At 36.9% G+C, this 22,062-nt stretch overlaps 1 protein-coding gene across 21 annotated transcripts in view; it reads left to right on the top strand.

The window, feature by feature from the left end:
• Positions 1-22,062, top strand: part of ZNF385B (zinc finger protein 385B) — a 419,631-nt gene that overhangs the window by 283,955 nt on the left and 113,614 nt on the right. For 2 of the 21 annotated variants that reach the window (NR_104234.2, NM_001282725.3), the window contains exon 3: positions 1,391-1,542. The exons of 17 other annotated variants lie outside the window; for them this stretch is intronic. The gene's annotated coding sequence lies outside the window, so the exon portion shown is untranslated. Of the gene's footprint in view, positions 1-1,390; positions 1,543-15,069; positions 15,260-22,062 lie in introns of those variants that run through there. 2 more of the 21 variants (NR_148055.2, NM_001113398.3) reach the window with 1 other exon arrangement.

Genomic DNA, 22,062 nt, shown 5'->3' with positions numbered 1-22,062 from the left:
CTGATAAGAAAAAGAAAATTTTCAATTTATAAGGTTTTAATAAGCCCTTAAATTATTTTTCCCCAAGATTAATAATTATAAAGGAGCATAGGTCCACTTATCACATTTTCTACCAGAAATATACTGGGCATGCATGGGCAATGTTTCTCTTTAAAGTAGATGCTGACACTATATAATTAGAGAATTACAATAATGGGTCTTACAGAAGAAAAGGAACCATATTCATATATACTTTTTGGCATACACTATTAGAGAAACTTTATGTTTCAGTGTGAGATTTATATATCTGATACATAATCAACTTTATATCAAGTATTCTCTAATGAGTTCTAATGAACTAGAAGTAGCTTTAAATGGAAAAAATATTATTCTAGCATCTCAGAAAATAGTTTTGGCTTATTCCCTATTAATTTTGACCTTAAAAAAATAAGATCCCTTTAGTCCACCTGGGCCTGGGTGGCCTGCTTATTTTCTCATAGAGGGTTCTAAAGCTTCTTGGAAAGTCTTAGGTTTTACTCTATTAGCCCAATGTTACAGGGCTCTTCTCCATGCCACAAATATTCATTTGCAGATAATGATACTTTCTACTGCCTCAATATATTTTTATATCCAGTTTTCTCCTGGATTCCTTATATCTTATCTGAGGAATGCTTAAAGCCGTCTGTTGTGAGATTTTCCTCAAACTTTCTCTAGCAAAAGGACCGGTTTTTATCATAACATACTTAATTAACACCTTGATCAAGGAGGCAAACAGTGCAGCAGAGATTCCTGGAACAAGATGATCAATTGGACTTACCCTGTGTTTGTTGAACTGCCTGAATTTTATAAGCCCATGTGGATATGGCTTAGAGCTGAGATCCAAACAGCTCCTGCTTCCTGGTCTCTTCCCTGAATTACATCTCTGTATTATCGGTATCTCTTGCCACCAGTTTTCTCTGAAGTCATTATAGACTATATAGAATTTATGAATCATGTTCAAATTTGTTAGTCATTAAATATTTGTCCAGAACTGGGTATATGATTGTGCACTTATAGAAAGATGCTCACAGTATAATGCAGTAACTACGGTGATGTGGAATATAGGTATTACAGGAACAAAGTGAAGGAATACTTCATCCAACCTTAGTGAGTCAAAAAGATACTTCCTCTCTTAAAAATGCATAGAAATAGTCAGATTTATGACCATGTAGGCCATGTTAGTGTAAATGACATGATGAAGGTGAAGCTCCATGGGCATGGGTACCCCAACTGTCTTGTTTAGGCCACATTCCCAACATCACGCATAGATGTGGCTCATAGGCCCTAACCCTCAGGACATATGTGTCAAATGGATAAATGGAAAAAAAGGATTCTAAGTAGAGGAGTAATGTGGTTCACTTTTGATTTTTAGATACGTTGATCTGGCAGCGGCATGGGAGATGGATCCAAAGAGATTAAAACTGGAGTGAAGGAGTCCAGTAATGATGTGAAGAGATGAGGGTCTGAACTAGGACAGAAGTCAGTCACAGGGATGGATTTGAGACGTTTTGGAGGGTTACACATGTAAGACCTGGTAACTGTGTGCCTGTGGGAAGAAAAGGAGAGGTACGGGGCAAGTGTTGTGCCAGAGTTGCCATCGTCTAACTTAAAGAATACAAGGAGAGGAGTTATCTAAGGGAAGAAACAAGTTAAAGTTTTTATGCAACATATTATCATTTAAATGTATTCCAACTTTTACTTTTAAAATGAACCCTTGAGGAAATTCTAATAGATTTTTAATGAAAATCTTGTAGCACTTTAAAATTTTTAACTATCCCATGGGCATTATACCAGCACTGGGTCAAGAATATAAACTAAAAACATGGGTACCTCCCTTTAAAAAAAAACAAAAGTCTTTTAAGAATACCAAAACACTTGGGCATAACTACCACTTATTCTTCATGCAGAAATTTTGGTAGAGAGAGAACTATATTAATTCTTTCCTCCCTTTTGCTTTCTTTTTTTTCTTGATATTCTTCCCCTGGGTCTGGCATTCTGCAGTAAAGTAGGTAGAATCAGCTACCACATGGAGCCTCACTCCCAGACAAGTGGCCTTTGAAAGCTTCTCCTGTAGGAAGAAAAGCTTTCCAAGGAAAGGAGCAATGCTTGCAGGCCAATGAGAATTCCAAATAAATAGCATTTCGACTTCTGCTTCTCAATCTGGTTTTAACATTTGGTGAGGGGCAAAACAAACCCAACCAAAGTGCTATCATTCATTTGAACTTAAAGTTCAAATAATGTTACATTTAATTTGTAATCAGATCATTATAACTATAGTTGAAATATATAATTCTGGTATAGTGAAGATTTGTACGAAATCTTGTTTTTATTTTTTTCTCACTTTTTGGCACTGACTCTCTTCTTCTTCTACATATATGTTTTATTATCACAGGATGAGTAATTTTATTGTCATATCGCAGAGCGAATTCTCCCAGCCCAAATAAATTTGGCTTTCAGCGTGGTTCTGGGACATCCAGTTGGCAATACCCAGGAGGTATCTGCATATACAGAGCTGAGGCCTGGGGCAGAGGCCTGAGCTCTGAGTAGCAGTCATTGGCAGAGAGATAATACCCTGAGAGGCAAGCAGACCATCCAGAGAGGGTAGAGGGCCACCAGCAGAAGACCGATGTTGGTACCTGAGCAGCATCAACATACACAGAAACGAAAGAAGGGCAGTTCTAAAAAGAGAAAGCAATTTGATTAGAGAGACTGGAGGAGGGCCTGGAGAGAGAAATATCCTAGAAGGCAGGGCTTTAAGAAGTTCAAGAAGGAAGGAGTGAGAGAGCAAGGGAAGCAAGGAGCTTCTCTCCTTAGGTAAAGCCCTTCCCCCCTAACATCCCTCCTTCCTTCCCTAACTCTTCAGAATCTTAAGAGAAGGCAGTAGTTAGTTGTTGTTGTGTCCATACTTATAAATGTTCACAATCTATGCTATGTGAAGAATATAATTTCTTCAATGTACAAGTATGACTTCAGATTAACTTCCTTAGTATTGCTTCCATCTAGTTAGTTTCTAGGCTTTGTGGCTTTTAATGGTCTTTTCCTGTAAGTAGCTACAGTTGATTTGACTGTAATGCCAGTGCTTCAATATTCATTATTTTAGTAGTTACCCAGCAGATTTTATCATTGTTTATTCAGAGATATTTTTTAGCCCACGCTGCTCCTTATTCAGGATAAAGCAGATAAATATCTTGCTCAGAGCCAAACAGGGATACTTTAGATTCTGCTTCCATAGACTTTGTACTTTGTTGTTTGCACTGGCTCCTAAAAATATTGAGAAGGATAAACAGAAAAGTTCATTTAATTGTACTGAGTTCATTTATTGTTCTGAGCAAGTACAATACTCCCTATCTGATTAGTATCACTTCTGATCTGTATTTTAACCACAGAAAGGTACAGTTTTGTTTTTCCCCAAATAGATTGTGGTTTACCTATATTTTCCCTATTGTAAAATGCAGTTTATGTGCAGGATTCAAACCCCTTAATTCAGGCCTGAGTCATACTTCTATCATCACCCTCAAATTGTTAATTTTTATTTGCCCGTTCCTCATGAGTAAAGATTTTGTTACGGATCTTAAACAGCATTATAGTAAAGGAGTGATTTTGAAAGTCATTCCTTTGGGTTCACAAGGATACCCTTCTGTGGAAAGAGAAAATGAAATAGATATTATAATAATAATGCTATACTTTTTATCAAGTTATGTCAGAACTCATAATTAACCTTATTTTTATGGCATTTTGGTGAGTTTGTTTTTATTCTAGTTCTCGTATTCACAGAGACTGAAATGTAAAAAAAATTAAGACTTTATCCAAAGCCACATAGGCATTAGATCTGAGTAACTTTGGCACTGCTGACACACAACTTGTCTTTTTCCTCTGAGCTTACTTAAAATACTTATGAAGCCTTGAAAGCTTTCTCATCCGTTTTTTATTTTTCCCTTACAGAGTATTGATTTCTATTTTTTTAACTTCAAAAATTCACATAGCACAATTGTTAAAAAGTTCAAAAGTAACTTTCTTAAATTTAGCTTTTAATCTAAATTTTTTATTTTTAAAAAGACCTAACTTTACAGCACATGACATAACTAATAAATAAAACAAACAAATATTCATCAATATTGAGCAAAATGATAAATTTTACTTTTGAAAAGTTTGTTTTCAAGAAAAACTGAACCTATCCTTTAGTTTTTTGTTTTTTTGGTTTTTCTTTTTTCCTGATAGCTGCTGGCCTCACAAAGTATTGTTAGCATATCAGTTTGGTGTTTTGGCAAAATAAAAATTAAAAATTATACTATTCCTTTCATCCAAGTCTAGGTGCTATTGCTTAAAATTTTTCTTCCAGAATTTTTCATGTGAAATTCTTGGAGATTGAGAAAAGATAATAATTCAGATCTATTAATAAAGATTAATTGCTGCTAGAGATATACTGTGAAATGCATATGCAACGTCTGAAAAGATATGTTACAGAAGATATGAATTCGCCATTCCTAAGTCACTTTCTTCAACTTTAAAGTATCAACATTTATTAGGTTAACATTAAATACTTGAGAGCAGATTCTTGAAATATTGACTAAATCTGAATTCTTGCTATAAGATTTGAAATATCTGAAAATCAAATATAATTGGGAAAATTCTGCTACTTTATTATTTATTAAATAGTCCTAGTAACTTTAATGATAGCCACATATTTTAAACAAATGATTATCTTTGACAGAGGAATTATAAATGAGAGCCTCATTCAAGAATTCCCTTTATTCATGGCTGTTGTTTGTCTGCCCTTCTTTTTGGCGGTACAGAATAAACAGGGCTTAGTGGGAAGGGGAGGACCATACAGTCTAGCACACAGGCCTTGCACAACCTCAGTCTTTGTGGTAGTATGGGTAGGTAGAAACCAAAATCCCTGAGTTGGAGGGGTTTTCAGGTCAAAGCTTAGAAATGACATTTCCCTCCAAACTGACCTCTCGTTCTGTGTTCTTTCTCCATGATAGGCCCTTCCATCTACCCAAGCTGGGAGCCTTGCTGAATAGTCCATTGGATATTAGCCCTGTCTCCAATCAGTTGTCATGTCCTGTTGAGTCTACCTCTTTTGTCTGTATTCTTTTCTCACTACAGCCTAACCCTCGGTTCATACTCAAATTGTCTCTCACATAGGTTACTATGATGCCTTCTACTTGAACTTCTTAGCTCTATCAGCCTCTCTTTTCCCACCCAGCCTTTGCCATATCAGTGTTTTTCCTATTGCCACACTAGCACTCTGTATCTTAAATGTCTGTGTGTTCAGGTAAACCCTTCACGAGGCAGTTAGCTCCATGAAGGCAGGGACTGAAGGTTTCTGGTCCATCATTATATACTTAACACCTAGTACACTATGTGGCTTTTAGCCATCGTTGAAAATCAGTTGGATTTTGAATACATGGATTTTTTTATTCATAAATATCTGAGAAGGCCAGGTATTATTTTAGAATTCCTAGACACCTCAAAGTTCTCTGCCAGAACATGGAAGCACAAAGTGGCTCCTGGCCCACCTCCTGTCCTGTTCAACAAGAAGGTAGACACCCTAGTCCTCACTGCCAACCTCCAACTACATTTCCTGAAAATAGCCACCCTGAGGCCACTCCCAGGCCCCCACAGGCGTTTTCCACCTCACAGGAAGGGATCTGGAAAAGAGACCTACACAGGACTTGGAAGTAGTCCGAGGGCCATTAGGGCATCAACTTACAGAATCCCAGGAACCCAGGATGTGGTCTAGAAGGAGGGGTAGGGAAGGCATAGACAATGTGGGCCGATCCCTTTGGCCTACGAACTGGGTAGGAATATGGCCAGAGGAGGGTTGTGTCTAAGAGCCCTACTACAAGCAGGAGATGATCTGGATTTGTTCTAGAGATTGTACTCCTAGTGTATATTTGTGAAAGTGTAGCATTAGCAAGAACTGTCTAATATTGTATTTGAGAAACGCCATGTGAAAATATGAATAGAACTTAAAGGTTGTAACTGAATCTTTCCTAACTAACCTTTTAATTGTTTGTATTTCAAGACCACATGACTCTCTGTTCTGTTGTGTTCTGTGAAGCAGTTTCAAGTACTGATTAAGAGTACAATGTGGAAAGCCAAAACAGGGATATGAGTTGTGAGCTGGATTTTGTTCTAAGTTGTCCCTTTGCTGGCTATGGAGCCCTGGGCAGAGTGCCTCATCTGCTGAATAGAGGTAATCTTCCTTCGGGCTTGTAGTGAAAGTACATGAGGTTAGACTCTTTAAAAGACTTAGCTTAAGTAAATGCTCAATAGATCACAGTGCTGTCATCATCATCATAATCACTGTCATTATTTTTACAGCTGTTATTCCTTATTGTCCATAACTGTTGTAATGACCTTGGGCAAGTCACATAACCTCTCAGAACCTCAATTTCTTCCTCCATAAAAAGATGTTTGGAGCAGAGGATAACAAAGACTTTGTCCAGTTAAGAGCAAGGACTTTCTGGAATTCTTTCAGTGTACACTGAACTTGAACTTGACCCCACAAGCAGTGTTTAAATTGTTAATGAAAGTTAGCTACTATGCATGTAATATCACTATATATTCTACTTTAATCAAATGTAGTATGCAAAAAACCTGGATTAAATATGCAGTTTATGAAACAAGTATTTGCTTTATAGAAAGATTCACTGTAGAGTCCCTTTTACTCACAGGCTCTTCTAGTACATTAAAAATAAAATTTGATTTAAAAAAAGATATTCGGTTTGCCTGCAACTTTTCAGAAACATATGCAGACATTTTTAATCCGTTTGAATCACAGAATCCCTTGTGAATTGATTAACTCTGATTCCTCTCTCTGAGAAATGAACATGGTTGCAAATATTTGCATACAATTCCTGGAGAGGGGGTGGTCCATGGATCCTAATTTAAGAAGCCCTGGCATAAAGCCAAAATAAAGAGAAAACCAATAAAAATGGAATATGTTGAGGATATTATAGGCATTTCTAAATGCCAGCCTCCAAACAACTGGCTCTCTTCAGAATCAGAGAAACAAAGAGAGAACTAACATTTATTGAATGCGAACTGTGCCAGACACTGTGTTAAGCATTGTATAAGTGTCCTTCCCCTTCCAAATCTAAAAAAGACAGATATTATTTCTGATGAGAAAATTGAGGCTCAGAGAATAAGCACTTCTCCAAAGTCTTTTCACTATTAAATGGTAAAAGCAAAATTTGAACTGGGGTCTGGCTCTAAGGCTACATACACTGTGATAAAAGGCCCTAAGTTCCTTCACATTTGTTCCCAAGCCCCCAGATTTTTATTAAAGAATAGATCACAGAAATGTACAGATTTTTATGCCTTAGTGAACTCACAAAGGAACCAGCTTCATGTTGAGAGCCCATCCTTTCCCCCTCCCATGTTCTGTGTCATCAGAGCTGGGAGGACTTGCAGGAGTGGTACGTTGGTGTTGGGATGGGTCAGGGCAGCAGAGAGCTGAGAGATGATGGACTCTCTTGGCTGGATATGATTCAAAAGTTCTGATCCCCTACATGCCCCAGTAAAGTTTTCTGGCTGACATCTGTGTTGAAGAGTTGTCAGCTGAGGAGCAGAGAAGTGTCCAGTCAGACTCAGAATACCTCATTTGCCAAGTATCACATGAGAATAGTGAAGACAGGCCCCATTTGGAAAAGAACTGCTTCTAGGAAGATTTATTACATAGGGGTCATGTTGCATAACTATGTTCAGGATACTCAACTCCTCCTTGACTCATTCACATTTCATAAGACAGATACTCCCTTCAAAAAGGAGGGACTAAATGAGGAAATAAATGAAGGGCCTTATATGAATGGCAGAACAACCTAAGTCTTATTGGAATTCTTTCTTGGACTGTATCTATAGCCTTGGTGCTATAAGCCAATATTGACCTTTCTTCATAAACAGCTTGACCCAATACTGTGCAGAAAGCACTGTGCTTTGCACACTTAAAGACCTTATATAGTAAGGTGAGTTCTGTGTCCTCATGTTCTAACCTGTCAAAACAAAACATTTGTGGTGATTTGGGAATATGCTCACAAATACATTTTTGGTTTCAAGTCATTTTAAGATATGCTATCTTATCACCTCAGCCTTCACAACATGTCCTAGAAAATTATGCTGTTTTCACAGTGATATTAAAGGCACCGTGAGATTTGGTATTTTATTTAGATTTTCCTCATGATTTCCCACATGATATAGAACTGCTTCATAAAGTTACTTGCTGTGAAGTATTTCAGAGCTTTATTTGGCGGTAATCAGGAAGATACTACTTAATGTTTAAAAGTAAAATATGCATATTTAGGAGTAACTGACATCTGATAAGCAATTTTTCTTGTATGCTATGGATGGTGCAAAAGATATTTTATTAGTGTAAATTTGATACCTCCTTATATCAGCAAGGCAGCATAACATAGTGGTAAAAGTATGGACTCTAGAGCCAAACTACGTGTGTTTGAACCCCAGCTCTGACGCTTGCCTGCTTTAGGATCTTGGGGAAGATATTTTGTCTTTCTGTGCCCTGTTTCCTCATCTAGAGAATGCAGGTAATAGCAAGTTCTTCCTTTACTGTGTTAATTTGAAAATTGGGTGAATTAATATACATAAGTGTATAGAACAGTGTTGGTGCATAATAAATGTTATGTAAGTGTTAGACATTGTTATACAAATGAGTAAAGATGACTAATAAACTCTAGGTGTTAGATGGTTTAAAAAATAAGTTAGTTTATCCTCAGTTTAGGATAAGTGTTTAAATAGAGTTTATTCTCATATTGGTCTTAAGAAAGCTCTAGCTAAGACCTCTGCCATTCCTTCTGTCCTCTTATATCAAATCTGAGTATCAATTAATGGCTTCACTGACATCTGTGGGCTGAGGATCCTCACATACCTGTAAATGGAAATGTGTACTAAGTTTAATAGATTTCAGTTTGACAGATTGAATAAATACCATTTCTCACACACACCCAACATATTTTTGCCAAATGTATGTCAGCCCTGCTGTGATAATGAAATACCACCATACTTTAAATGTTGCTAACTTCATAACAGCTTTGAATATGATCAGTGAATACTGAGGGAAAAAATAACACTAATACTATGTGAGAAGTCCTTGAAACTATTTGATGCTAAAATTGTATTTTCACATTTGAAAATGCTGGAAAAGTATGGTCATTCATTCATTCAAAATATGTATTGAGTACCTACCATAGGCCTGGCCCTGCTCTAGAAACTGGGAATATAGTTTTTATCCCTGTGGAGATTATATTTTAGTAACAGGAGATAATGAACAAGTAAACAAGTAAAACATGATCATTTTAGAGACAAGTAAGTGCCATGAAGTAAATAAACCGAGCAGTGTAATAGAGGGAGGGGCTCACTGAGATGATAACTGAGCTGAGGCACAACTGAAATGGGAGCAGGGAGTTTCATGCTGAGGGAACAGCAGAGGCAAAAGCCTGAGACAGAGTGAATGTGATGTGTTTGGGAAAGAGAGAGGAAGGACGCTTAGATCTTGGGGGAAGAGAGGCAGTACTCAGTGAGGTTTTGGAGCAGGCAGGGGCTTAATTAAACATGTGGTGACTGCAGGCCATAGCAAGGGGTTTGATTTTATTCCAGGTGCTGTGGGAAACTGTTCCACTGGAGTGACATGATCAGATTTGTATTTTTAAACAGTTTGCTTGGCTGCTGTGTGAGAACCAAATGTCGGAGACCGTAAGTGGTCCCGGAAAGATCCCTTAAGAGCCATTAGCTGTAGTCCAGACAAATGTTGGTGTCTCGGACTAGTATGTGACAGTGACATGGATGGAAGCAGGAAGATTTGCAGCCTATGTTGGAATTGGAGACAACACGACTTGCCAATAGTCTGGATGTAGGTGGAAGCTAAGGAGGAATCAAAGAATCACAAATTTTAAGGTCTTGCTCAAGTCCTGCCTTCACAGTGAAACTTTCTCCAGCTCTTCTAGCCCACTTTTGTCTCTCCTTTGATTGCAGTGGCTTTGAGCTGACAATATGTGCAAGGCATTGTTCCTGGTGCTTAGGATACATTAGTGAATGAAACAAAGCTTCCTGCCCTGTGGATGTTATGATCTGTCCTGTACCACTTCTATATCTGTGCCACTAATTTGCATTAAATTTTATGTGTCTTTGTATTAGTCTCTAATTGTTTTGGATATATTATTTTTGTTCTCTAAATAGAAAAGCACCTTTAGGACCAGTGACCCCACTTTTCAATTTACCATAATGTCTTGCTCAGTGATGGTGGAAGCAAAAGTAACAGTGAAAATATGTTTGTTTGTTTTTCCCCCCACAGATAGCTTGTTTCTAGGTTTGCCTGCTGCTTTAAATAAGTAAACTTGTGAAAATCCAAAATTGCAATTCAGATGACTAGAAGGGCCATAATTTTTTCATTAAAAAAGATTATGGGCCTGGCACGGTGGCTCAATGCCTGTAATCCCAGCAATTTGGGAGGCCAAGGCAGGTGGATCACTTGAGGTCAGGAGTTCGAGACCAGCCTGGCCAACATGGCGAAACCCTGTCTCAACTAAAAATACAAAATTAGCCAGGTGTGGTGGCTGGTGCCTGTAATCTCAGCTACTCGGGAGGCGGAAGCAGGGAGAATCACTTAAACCCAGGAGGCGGAGGTTGCAGTGAGCCGAGATCGCACCACTGCACTCCAGCCTGGGTGACAGAGTGAGACCCCGTCTCAAAAAAAAAAAAAAAAAAGAAAAGAAAAGAAAAAGATTATATAGTCACTCAAGAGTTACTCTAAAATAACAGTTCCCCTCCCCAATGAATGTAATTAAAAATTTGTCAACAAGTCATTATGCATTTGTCAGGGGGATTCGGATGAAGGAACTGAAGCTGAAGAATCAGAAGCCATAGTCCATTTAAAATTAATTCAAAGTGAAGACATCAAAACTATAATTTAGAATTGTAAATTAAAAAGAAAATTATTTCTGAGTTCTAAAAATTCAAATATGTGGACTTTATAGAGGACTTCCATTTTCTACATTTACAATTTATAATCAACAGTTATAAATTAATTCTTTAACCAAGTCACGTTCATCCTAGCAATGAAAAGTAACCATTCGAATACACAACTAAGTTGGCTTCAGGTTATGGCTTTCTGAGTTTGTCTTAAAATATAAAAAAGAAAACAAAAGTCATGGCTTTATGTTTTGCAAGGAAGACTGAGTATCCTCATAAACACTCATAGGCTATTGACTCCTTTTCAAGACCCCTTATAGTAGGGTTGGCATTGAGGTGCTATTGCTAATGCAATGCTGTATCTTACACAGCTGTCCTGCAGGTTAATTAAGCTTTTGAGGACTATCCCAGGAATTATTATTTCCATGAAAAATGCTTCTGGATTCTAGAGTACTGACTTAAAGCCAAAATTAGGAACATACTTCATTTATAAGAGGTCTTAAACTTGTTTCTGTAATTCTCATAATCCATGTACTCTTTGAAGATGATCATAATTATCAATGAGCAATAAAACCTTTAATCAGGTAGTATGCAGCAGCACAGTTCTTATATTAAAAACACAGATGCTATTCCCTTACGCCTACATTCACTCAACACATTCATTAAGTGCCTTCTCTGGGCAGGGCCCTAGACAAACAGCAGTAAATTAAGTCTGGTCTCTAAGCCAGAAGAGCTTAGAGCTCTTTGGGGAAGAAGACACATGCACAAGTAATACACAATCAACATTCTTAAGTGTTGTAATGAAGATGTAAATAAAATGCATTGCAGGTTATCAACAGTCTTAAGTACTGTAATGGAGATGTGAATAAAATGCATTGCAGCTTCGGAGGAAATCAAAATGCTTTCTTCTGAAAAAAGAGGGAAGGCTTCGTGGAAGAGATGGCATTTAAAATGTCACTTGAAAATCGAGAGAATTTAAAAGGAGACAAAAAGGGACGAGCATCCTGGGAGGCATGACAGCATGAGAAAAGTGATAGAACGCATAAAGTGTGTATGTCCAAGAACCAGCTAGTGCTTCGTGCAGTGAACATTTCTGGAGCAACTACGAAGTGTAAGGCACTGCCTAAGGGGCCAGAGACAAAAAGACAAATAAGATGTGGGTCCTGTCCTTGAGAGAGAATTTGGTTTAATAAATCTTACAAAGTGTGAGAAAACAGTTTTCATTTAAGTTTGAGGATGGTGTTGGATGCTGAACTGCGGCATTTGAATTGGATTCTGTGGTGATGGTAATAATAATGCTCACCATTCACTAAATCCTTCAGTGTTCTAGCCACCATAGTAAGAATTTACATGCATTATTTCCTTCAGAGCTCCTCATGAGATATGATTACTGTTTTATTCCTACTTGTGAGCTGAGAAAATTGGGGCTAAGTCAATTAATGTATGTCATGTTTCCCAGCTGGTAAGTAGCCGAGTAGAGATTTAGACAGGTGTATAGTATTACAGAGCCTGTAACTCACTGAGAGAAGCCACAGGAGATGTTTGAGTAGGATAATGATTGATTTGAGCTGTTCTTCTTAAGAATTCATTTGACTACAAGGTGAATACAATGATTAAGGAATTATGCTTGTGAACAGCTAATAAGGACCTAAATGAAGGTAATGGCAATGGGTATGAAAAAGGAAAGGAGGTGACAGATGTCATAAAGCTTACTAACTGGATTCAGGGACAAGGAAGAGGGAGAAGTCAAATACAGCTTCAAGTTTTAGAGTCTGCATGTAAGGAAGTAAAGACCAGCAGAGAAGAAATATCCTTTAGGGAGTGAGGTGAGGGGATAGGGGCAGGGAGGCTGGGATAAGTAGTTTAATTTTGTACAAGTTGAACTTGAGGTGCCAATGGGATACAGGTGGGAGGGAAAATGCAAAAGTTAAGGTTAGAAATACAAAAGTTGAGCTTGGAAAAGAGGTGATTTAGAAATGGGATTATATTCTACCAATGGTAGAGAGGTCAAGGAGGACTGATAGAGGCCTTCAGAACCCTAGTTTTATTTTGCTGGAGAAATCATAAGCCAGATTACAGTGTTTATGAAGTAAGGGGATAGTAAAAAATAAAGGAAGGGTAGGCTACTCTAAAAGAAGTTAAAAGGTAAGAGCAAATAGTTGGTAGACTAAGAGGCTAACAAGAATGGAGCAAGTTTTGTTTCCTTAAGAATGGACTGACTAAAGAAAGACGGTGATTGATAGGGTAAGGTCTTATAGAGAGGGCGGGCTGTATTAACTAACTCAAGGTGATGACTTAGCTAGGTAAGAGATGCCTGGTGCCTCCTTTGGATCCATCCAAGCTCTTCTCATTTTTTAGATAACCATTTAAATGTCACCTCTCTGTGGAGCCTCTGTCTCTCCTGTAGTTTTCCCCGTAGAGGCTTAAGTGTTCCTTATCCCATTCTCCCACTGGTCTTGGTACATACCTGCACTATGGACCAGTGGTTCTCAAACATCAGCATGTTTCAGGTCATGTAGGGGGCTGGCTAAAACACAGATTACTGGGCCCCATCCCCAGTGTTTATGATTCTGTAGATCTGGAGTGAGGCCTCAGAATTTGCTTTTCTAACAAGTTCTCAGGTGATGCTGATGCTGCTGGTCTGAGGACCACACTTTGTGTACTACTGAACTAAACTAAAAATATGTGAGACGTACAAATAAAGAGCTTGGGAGTTCAAGGATGCACTAGTATTCCAGACCGGGAAATGTTCTAGAAAAAATACTCCAAGAATCAGTCATGATTCAACAGCAGGTAAGAAAGAATGAAACACTTCTTCATGAAAGAAAAATATTTTGAAGAGGCCATCAACATAATCTCTACAGAGCAGAGGTTTCTTAGGGGAGAGCTATCATAGATGAAGACTTTTTTTTGAGTGAAAACCACAGCCATGACTATAATTATACTGTAATCATAAGGAATGCCCAGTTGTTATTTGGGGGGAAGTAAGTATAGAGCTAGCATACTATGTTTCATTTAGAATATTATTTTGTTATTATTCATAACTTAGATGATTGAGACTGGAAAAAATGTACCATTTCTAAGAGCTGGTTTTATAATTACCATTTTCTTTGCTGCATCTAATTATTCACTTAGGTTTACCTGTCCCTGATAGTTACTGTGCAAATCTGACATAAGCAGATATACTAAATCTCAGAACTTGGATAAATATAATTTTTTCTGTACGTCACTAAAGTGTTGGCTGTGGTTAGTAAATGTGCTAAGTTGCCCAACCAAAGGTGCAAAATCCTTCCTGACATTTGCAAGCATCAGTCATTTCAAGTTTCTTTTATTCATTCAAATGCCCACTAAGCTAACTCATCAGTATCAATGACAATCAGCTTAGCATAAGCAAAACAACCATTCAGTCATAGCCACACTGTGTAACATGGATATATCAGATGCTTTATTCTGACAACATGGTCAGATGCCACTAGATGCAAAGTTAAATTAATTAGATATGAGAGCAATAATAAATCAGTTTAGTTCCAAGCCTGTATAACTTCAATTTTACCATAATACCCTATATAACTGAAATTAGGTTTTTGAGTTGAGATGCATACACGTCCCTATTAATTTTATCAACATCAAATTGACATCTGCCCTAGTCTTTTTGAACTATATGAATCTTTATTTAAAACCTAAAAATCCATGGGAAAGGAAACAAATTCTTCAGGCCTAATAGAATGCAAATAAATTATTCTAGTCTAACAGAATATAAATAAAGTTTGTTGTGAGAACACATTTCTCTTTGAAATAAAAAGCAATTTTAAAAGATTTAGTTGCCCACCTGAGGGGGAATAATCCCTTGACATATAAGTGATACTGAAAATTCCAAACTGTTGTGATAAGTAGATATTTTGAGAGAATTGAATTGTTTTGTTAGGAGGGAGATGTGGGTGTCAGTTTGCTTTATTTCCATTTTACTATGACAGAGTGGTAGTTTTTGAGTAGCTGGGGGATACTCAGAAAAATTACATGAAAGAAAGCCACTTGTCAGTCTTTTAGGATATATTTGGTTCTGTGTCATCAGAAGGTTTTCTGCCCTCTCCCTGGAATCAAGTTGCAAACACGATCCTCAATAGTAATTAGAGCTAAGCGGCAATTACAGGACGTATGATTTGTTCAGAAGCACTGCCTGCCGGCTGTTTCCTAGCACCACATTTCACGGGAGCACCAGGTTGAGATGATGGAATTATTTACTTTTAAATGTAACATCTCGTACAGTGCTCAAATGCAGACGTGAACGTGGACTGTAACCTTAAAAACAAAGGTAAGCACTGCTAACTGACCCACATTTACATCTTAAGGAACTTTCTTATGAAATATGTGACAAAAATATAAAACAGGTCAAATGAATTTCAGAAAAAGAGAAAAGTATCAGAATTAAGACAAATAGAATTTGCTAATTTTGCAACTCCTTTGTCTAATGGTATCTTGACTTTCCTAGCCTGTTTGTATTTCATTTGTACTACTGAGCCACTTTACTAACTATAATGACGAGGTAACTGATTTCCCACATTTCTTTAATCTTTATAAGCTACCGTTCCCCTTTCTTTCAGAGTTTGTGTGGGAATAACTACTAGGTAAAAATGAGATTCATGTTCAATTCAACTATGTTAGAACTCTCTCTCCTTTTTATCTTCTTTTCAGAAAGTATATTTAAGCTGTTGATTATAAATGTCCAAGAATCCACATTCAGATTGACAGAATAGTGGCTGGTAGCCTGTAATCAAATTGAGTGACGTGGGAGATTTGCACTCTTGTCACATGATTTTTATGATAGGCACCATTTCAAGTTTTAATGTTCCATCTAGTTCACGTCAAAGCTCAATGGTTTCATGTTTGTTTAGACCCTTGGGCATAGAAATCTCTCTGGAAACCAGGTAAGTTTAGCTCCTCAAGAGGGAGTATTGTCTGTTATAAGAGTAGGTATAATTTGTATGTATACAGTAGGTACTTGTGAAATTCTCATTTCTGTTTTAATGTTATCACTTTATTTTCCCCCACCTTTTATTTACCCCACCTTACTCCCCACCTTTTTTTTTTTCAATTTTGCCATTTGTAAAACATGGATAAATATATTATCAGAAAAGGACTTAAGAACTCTTGGCACCAGGAAGATATTTTTATCTCATAGTCTCCAGTGGGATTTCAGGTGGCTTGAAAAATATTGAAAGAGCATTGACTTCTTTTATTCTATCTTATTCATGGGTTAGAGGTGTAAACACTGAGGGTTCAGTGGACTTGCAAAAAATGAATAGGTTAAAGCCAGAAATTGATTAATTTTTCCAAGGTCCTTGAGACACTGATGTGTGACCTCTTGGCAGACAATATTGCTCAGTTTAGTTATTACATACCTGATTTAGGGAAAATTTTTTGTAGTGCTGTATTCATCATGGCCTTTGTTTTCTATGTTTGCTTTTCATAGAATTATTTATCCCAAGCATCATTTTCTTCATCAGAAAAACAGGGGATGATCATAAGCCATGTAAAGTTTAGAAAACTACTTATTGTGGTGTGTGTAAAATATATGTAAAAAGCTACTTAATATATGTAAAAGCACCTTGTGCTGTCCAATGAAATGGTATAGTATTTGTATAACCCAGGACACAATGATGAATTTCCGTAAAAATATACTGTAAAATTCTATGGTGCACTCAGGTTTCTAACTTGTCCCTGTCCTTCACATGTATGGCAGATACCGTCGTGGGAGCACGTAATAAAAACAATCCTCACTTGTTGCAATTGACATGACTACTGGAGACAGAACTAGAGATATGGTCTAATTTGTTAAATCTTGTCACAGGGACAAACTTGTCCTGAAGCAAATATTAAAAAGAAAACTAATACAATGTAGTTGCAAAATAAGGCAAATGACAAATTTTATGAGTGCTTTCTAGTTCCCTGGAAGTATTATGGTGGGAGCCAAAGACAAAGAGATGAAAGAGGCACACAGACAGGTACGCAAATGTACAGAAACAGAGAGAGACAGAGACAGAGATGCTACATACAGGAGAGAAACAGGAGAGATGAGAGAGGCAGAAAAGACAGGTGGGAAAGAGGGAGACTATGGAAACAGTGATTAGAGAGAGTTAGAGAAAGAGGTGTTACAGAAAAGGAGACAGAGATACAAGTCAATCAGAGTTTGGAAAGTTGTAGAGATTGTGCAGTTTTGGAACTTTGGATTCTTTTTGCATTTCTTTTAGCTGGAAACATGCTTTCTCAAGTTAAATACATTGAGCACTAGGTCCATTTTTGTGAATTGTTTACTTTCCTTTGGTGTCTTTTAAAGCAAAGGGAACTTAACAGTCTGTTTGAAGTTCAGAAGAGACCAATAGTTAAAACAAATGTTTTAAAAGAAAATATCTCCATTCCTTTGTTGCTTTATAAAGCAAATCATTGAAAAGGAAAATAATGAGTGCTGTGAAGAAATGCTCTACTTTCAGGGGGACTTCTTATGAAGAAGTCATTATGGCCTTGACTTTTGGTGTTCATTGCTGGGATAGGAGGGAATTATTTGGGGAGCCAAAATGAAATTCCATATAAAGAATATTATTCAGATTTTAAAAAGAAGATCCTACCATTTGCAACAACATGGATGAGACTGGAAGACATTACGTTAAATGAAATAAGCCAGAAAAAAAATACTGCATGATCTCTCTTATATGTAGACTTTTTTAAAATGTCAAATATATAGAAACAGAGAATAGAAAGGTGGCTGTCAGACTGTGGGAGAGAGGGGAATATGGGGAGATGTAGGCCAATATTGTCAAAAGGTAGAAAGTTGTAATTATGTAGGATGACTATATCTAGAGATCTAAGGTACAGCATGAGGACAGTAGTTAATATATTTTGTATGTTAGAAAATTTCTAAGAGTGGATTTTAGGTACTCTTACCACACACACAAGTAACCATGTGAGATAATGGATATGTCAAATGGCTTTACTATGTGATCACTTCACTATATATATATGCATCAAAATATCACATTGTACACTATAAATTTTATATGATATTAAAAAAAACCCGACAGTCAAGTTGTAAAGTAAAAATTTTGATGACTATGTTAAAAAATAAAGAAAAAGAAATTTCATGTAAGAAAGTCTAGTACAAGGTCAGTATAATAGTACAAGAGTAACATGATGCACAGGGCTGGGGCAGTCATTTATGATGAGGGCCTTCATGTGCAGAAAATACTTGGGTGTTCATTGGAGATGTTTTGCACATCGCTAGTGCCCCAGAAGCTGCCTACCTGACTGAAGCTCTAGGATGTCAGGAGAATGGCAGAGTTTCAAGAAGCCAGGCCAACTATTGGCCCAATCTGTTAAATACCCACTAGAGACCTTTTAGAGTACCAGCATTCCTTGGGTCACAGAACACTCCATGTTTCTCAGGAAAAGGGTGAGCTCACATTGTCTTCCAGTCGCCCACAGGAGTGTTTGAAGAACTTAGATGCCCTGCTTCACTAGGTTGTTCCTGCTCATGCAGTTTTTGCTCTACTCTACTTCATTTTATACAGATTTCTGTCATACAGTGAAGAGGCGAAAGGGAGGAAAATCATTTTGGGAGTAAGATATTAGGAAATTTCTAACAAGAAATTCGTACTAATTCTAATCCACTTTGCAAAACTAAGCCAAACTCACTGCTCTTTCTTCCTTCTCCAGATCATCCCTCACCATTTTTTCCCATTGTAGCTCCAATTTTACCCCATACTCACAGTCTCTGCTCACTCTGGCCTTGGCATGGCCAGATCAGGCACCCCATACCAGGTTTCCATAGGGATGGAACAGGGGCTTTCATGCTGTTTGCACAGCAACCTTGGCTGCCAGGTGGAAGCCATCTCTGCCGCTCCTGGGTGAGAATGGCTTATTTGCTGATAGAGGACCAAGAGTGGCCTTTTCTATGATGGCCACCATGACTATCATACTTTACTAGAATTTTTTATGAACACTCTATAGTGCATTGTAATTCTGGTGGCCTTGGGATACATATGCAAAAAGGGTTTAGAGCAGATTTTACTGTTTCTATTTATTCCCAAGTTGTGCTTTCTGGGATTTTATTACTTTTTTTTGTTATTTTTAACATGGGCACCTACTTTTGAATAGCTATGAAGTGTTTGGTTAATATTTAAGCTAAAGAAACCTTTTTTCTCTGCCAAAGTGGGAGTAGAAAGCACTAGCAGAGCAAATATTAACTCTGTTTTCTCAAATTAAACAGGCTTGGGATGGGGGAAATATCCTTTTAAAAAGGATAATTTGTATAAACCACTATTCTTTTCTTTTCCCTCCTTTTGTTTCTTAAATACCACAGCCTAGACATTGAAAGCAGGAATTGAAATTCTCTGAAACTAGGAGAAAAAACATTTTGTGCCCTAGAGCTAGAATTTATAGCAGCAGCTGGGTGCACTGACCTCAGAGTTGCTGTATCCAGATCCCTTTAGCCTGGCTCTTAGTGTGAACTGCAGAGGAGAGGCCTAAAGACAGAGCCAGAGGTCTAAATAGGCCTGCTGCTTTGATCTCAAATAGAAGGTCAGTTGCCATTACTTGAAAAAATGTGTCTTCTCAGATAGCATTTTTGTTGTTGTGATTGTGATAGTACTTCGGTATAAAAACCAACAACACAAATGTGAGTGTGCCTCCTACCATGAGGCTATTTAAATTAGTTATATTGATCAAAACAGTATGGTTAAAGCATAGTTGTAATGAGCTTTGTTCATCTCTTTTTTTCCCCATAGGGAATATTAAAAGAAGTATTAAAATGAGGCATTATACTGGAGATTCCAAAAGCAGGGAGGGAGTGAGGGGGACAAGGGTTGAAAACCTATCAGGTACTATGTTCATTACTTGGGCAACAGGATCATTAGCAGCCCAAACCTCAGCATCATACAATATACCCATTATATAAACCTATACATGTACCCTATGAATCTAAAATATGTATATATACTTAAAAACATGTATATGACATATATACATATATAGCATGTATATGTTATATACATGTATATAACATACATATATAACATGTATATATGTTATATACATGTATATAACATACATATATAACATGTATATATGTTATATACATGTATATAACATACATATATAACATGTATATATGTTATATACATGTATATAACATACACATATAACATGTATATATGTTATATACACATATGTTTTATATATGTAATAAAATAAAATAAACTGTTATAATCAATCTTGTGCTATTTTATAAATTGGAAAGAAATGTTGGCTTTTGGCCACACTGGCTTTTCTTTCATTGAATTTCTCCCATTAATCATGTTGATAAAACAGTAAAATTAAAATCTCATTTAATTAAATGAATACTCTCTTTAAAATGTCAGTCAAAATTGAAAAAGAAAACACACCAAATGCTAATCTTGAATTTTTAAAGAAGGTAATGATGACAATATATGATTCTTGTACATCTTTGATTGTACAGACTTAAATATTCAAAACAGTGTTCATGGGCAGTGAGCTCTAGGTTTGGTTCTAACATCAGTCAGGTACCATGGTAGATTAAGCTCTCCAAATCCCATTTTTGTTATACAAAATGAAGGGTAGATTCCTAATTATGCTTACCTCTAAAATTTTATTAAATATAATTCTTTTAGAACTATTCAGTGACTTGAGTAACATTGTTACACTTTTCCTAGGAAAAGTTGTATTTTTTAGGGAGGTTTCCAAAATAAATGATAGTTCTGCACTGCCGTTAGGTCTTTAGCATGCTATAGACTGCCATCATAACTGCCAATTGTTGGATTTTATAGACTCAGAGTTCTAGATATACATTTTTCTTTTTGGCATCACTAGAGTCTGTGTTAGTCTCCCCTATTCACCTCCTAAATTCAGCAAAGAAGCATCAGCATCAGAGACAACACGTAGTTCCTCTGTTTGTAATAGAAAGAGGCTTCAGACTTCAAGAAAGGGTCTTAATGCCATTGAGGAGAGTCACCAGGCAAATGTAGCTCAGGACCATCGCCCCAGGTCTTTTTGCCAGTAAATTTCATCAGGCGCTGTGACCTCCCAATCCGTTCTCGACCTCAGACAATTTTAGTAAAGCCCTGTCTGGAGATAATTTTGGCTTCTCCAAAGACTTAGTAATTTAGAAACTAAGCACATGACATTCCCTTTTGATAAGTCAGGTGTTTAAAAATTATTGCAGAAAACTTGAGAAAGCATTTGTTAGAATACCGTTTTTTCTTCTTTCAATTTCCTTTTTTTGCATGATCATGCTTAATACTATTGGGTTATAAGCTGAGAAACTACGATAAAGGAAAAATATTTTAAATTCAGTTTTAACCCCATAAATTTATTTAAATTCTTAAATTCTCATACTTTTCAACGCTGCTTTGAAAAAGGATTGCAGCCAGTGAAGTATGTCACATGTTTGACGAAACTATAGTTTGTACAGTATAGCAAATAAATCTTATCCATTTTTTTTAACAACACTTAAATGTAAGAAATCCAAGTGGGCAAGATATTCAGGTATAAATGAATCACCACTTGGCTGTACATATTCTATTGCCACAGCATCTGAAAAGCCATCTGTTGCATCTCGGTGAAAGATTCATCGTTTTGTGTAAAAGCTGGTGTATTACTACAAAACCCAAAGGACATTGTGGCTTTAAATCCCTCCTGATGCGGCTTCTTTGATGTTTTTTGATGCAGCACTTCATTATTGCTTATCAACTTCAGTGCAGTGCTCAAAAGGATTTATTTTTAAATGTAACATTCTGCCAGGCTGCTGCCATGGTGGCTGCTGTCGGAGCTCTTTAGGGAGAACCCTGAGCTTCCCTAAGGGAAATTCAGGCACGTAACTGCCAATTGTTAGATTTTATAGACTCAGAGTTCTAGATATACATTTTTCTCTTTGGCATCACTAGAGTCTGTGTTAGTCTCCCCTATTCACTTCCTAAATTCAGCAAGGAAGCATCAGCATTAAAGAGAAATTTTATTTGCTCACAAATCATTTTGAGCAAAATCAAGCTGGCAGTAGAAAAAAAAGAACTCAAAAAGCATCATTGTCATCCTAAAATTATACAAACT

This window comes from Homo sapiens, chromosome 2 (assembly GCF_000001405.40).
Source record: "Homo sapiens chromosome 2, GRCh38.p14 Primary Assembly".
In the NCBI taxonomy this organism is placed as follows: Eukaryota; Metazoa; Chordata; class Mammalia; order Primates; family Hominidae; genus Homo; species Homo sapiens.
This window is presented reverse-complemented; position numbering and strand designations above follow the sequence as displayed.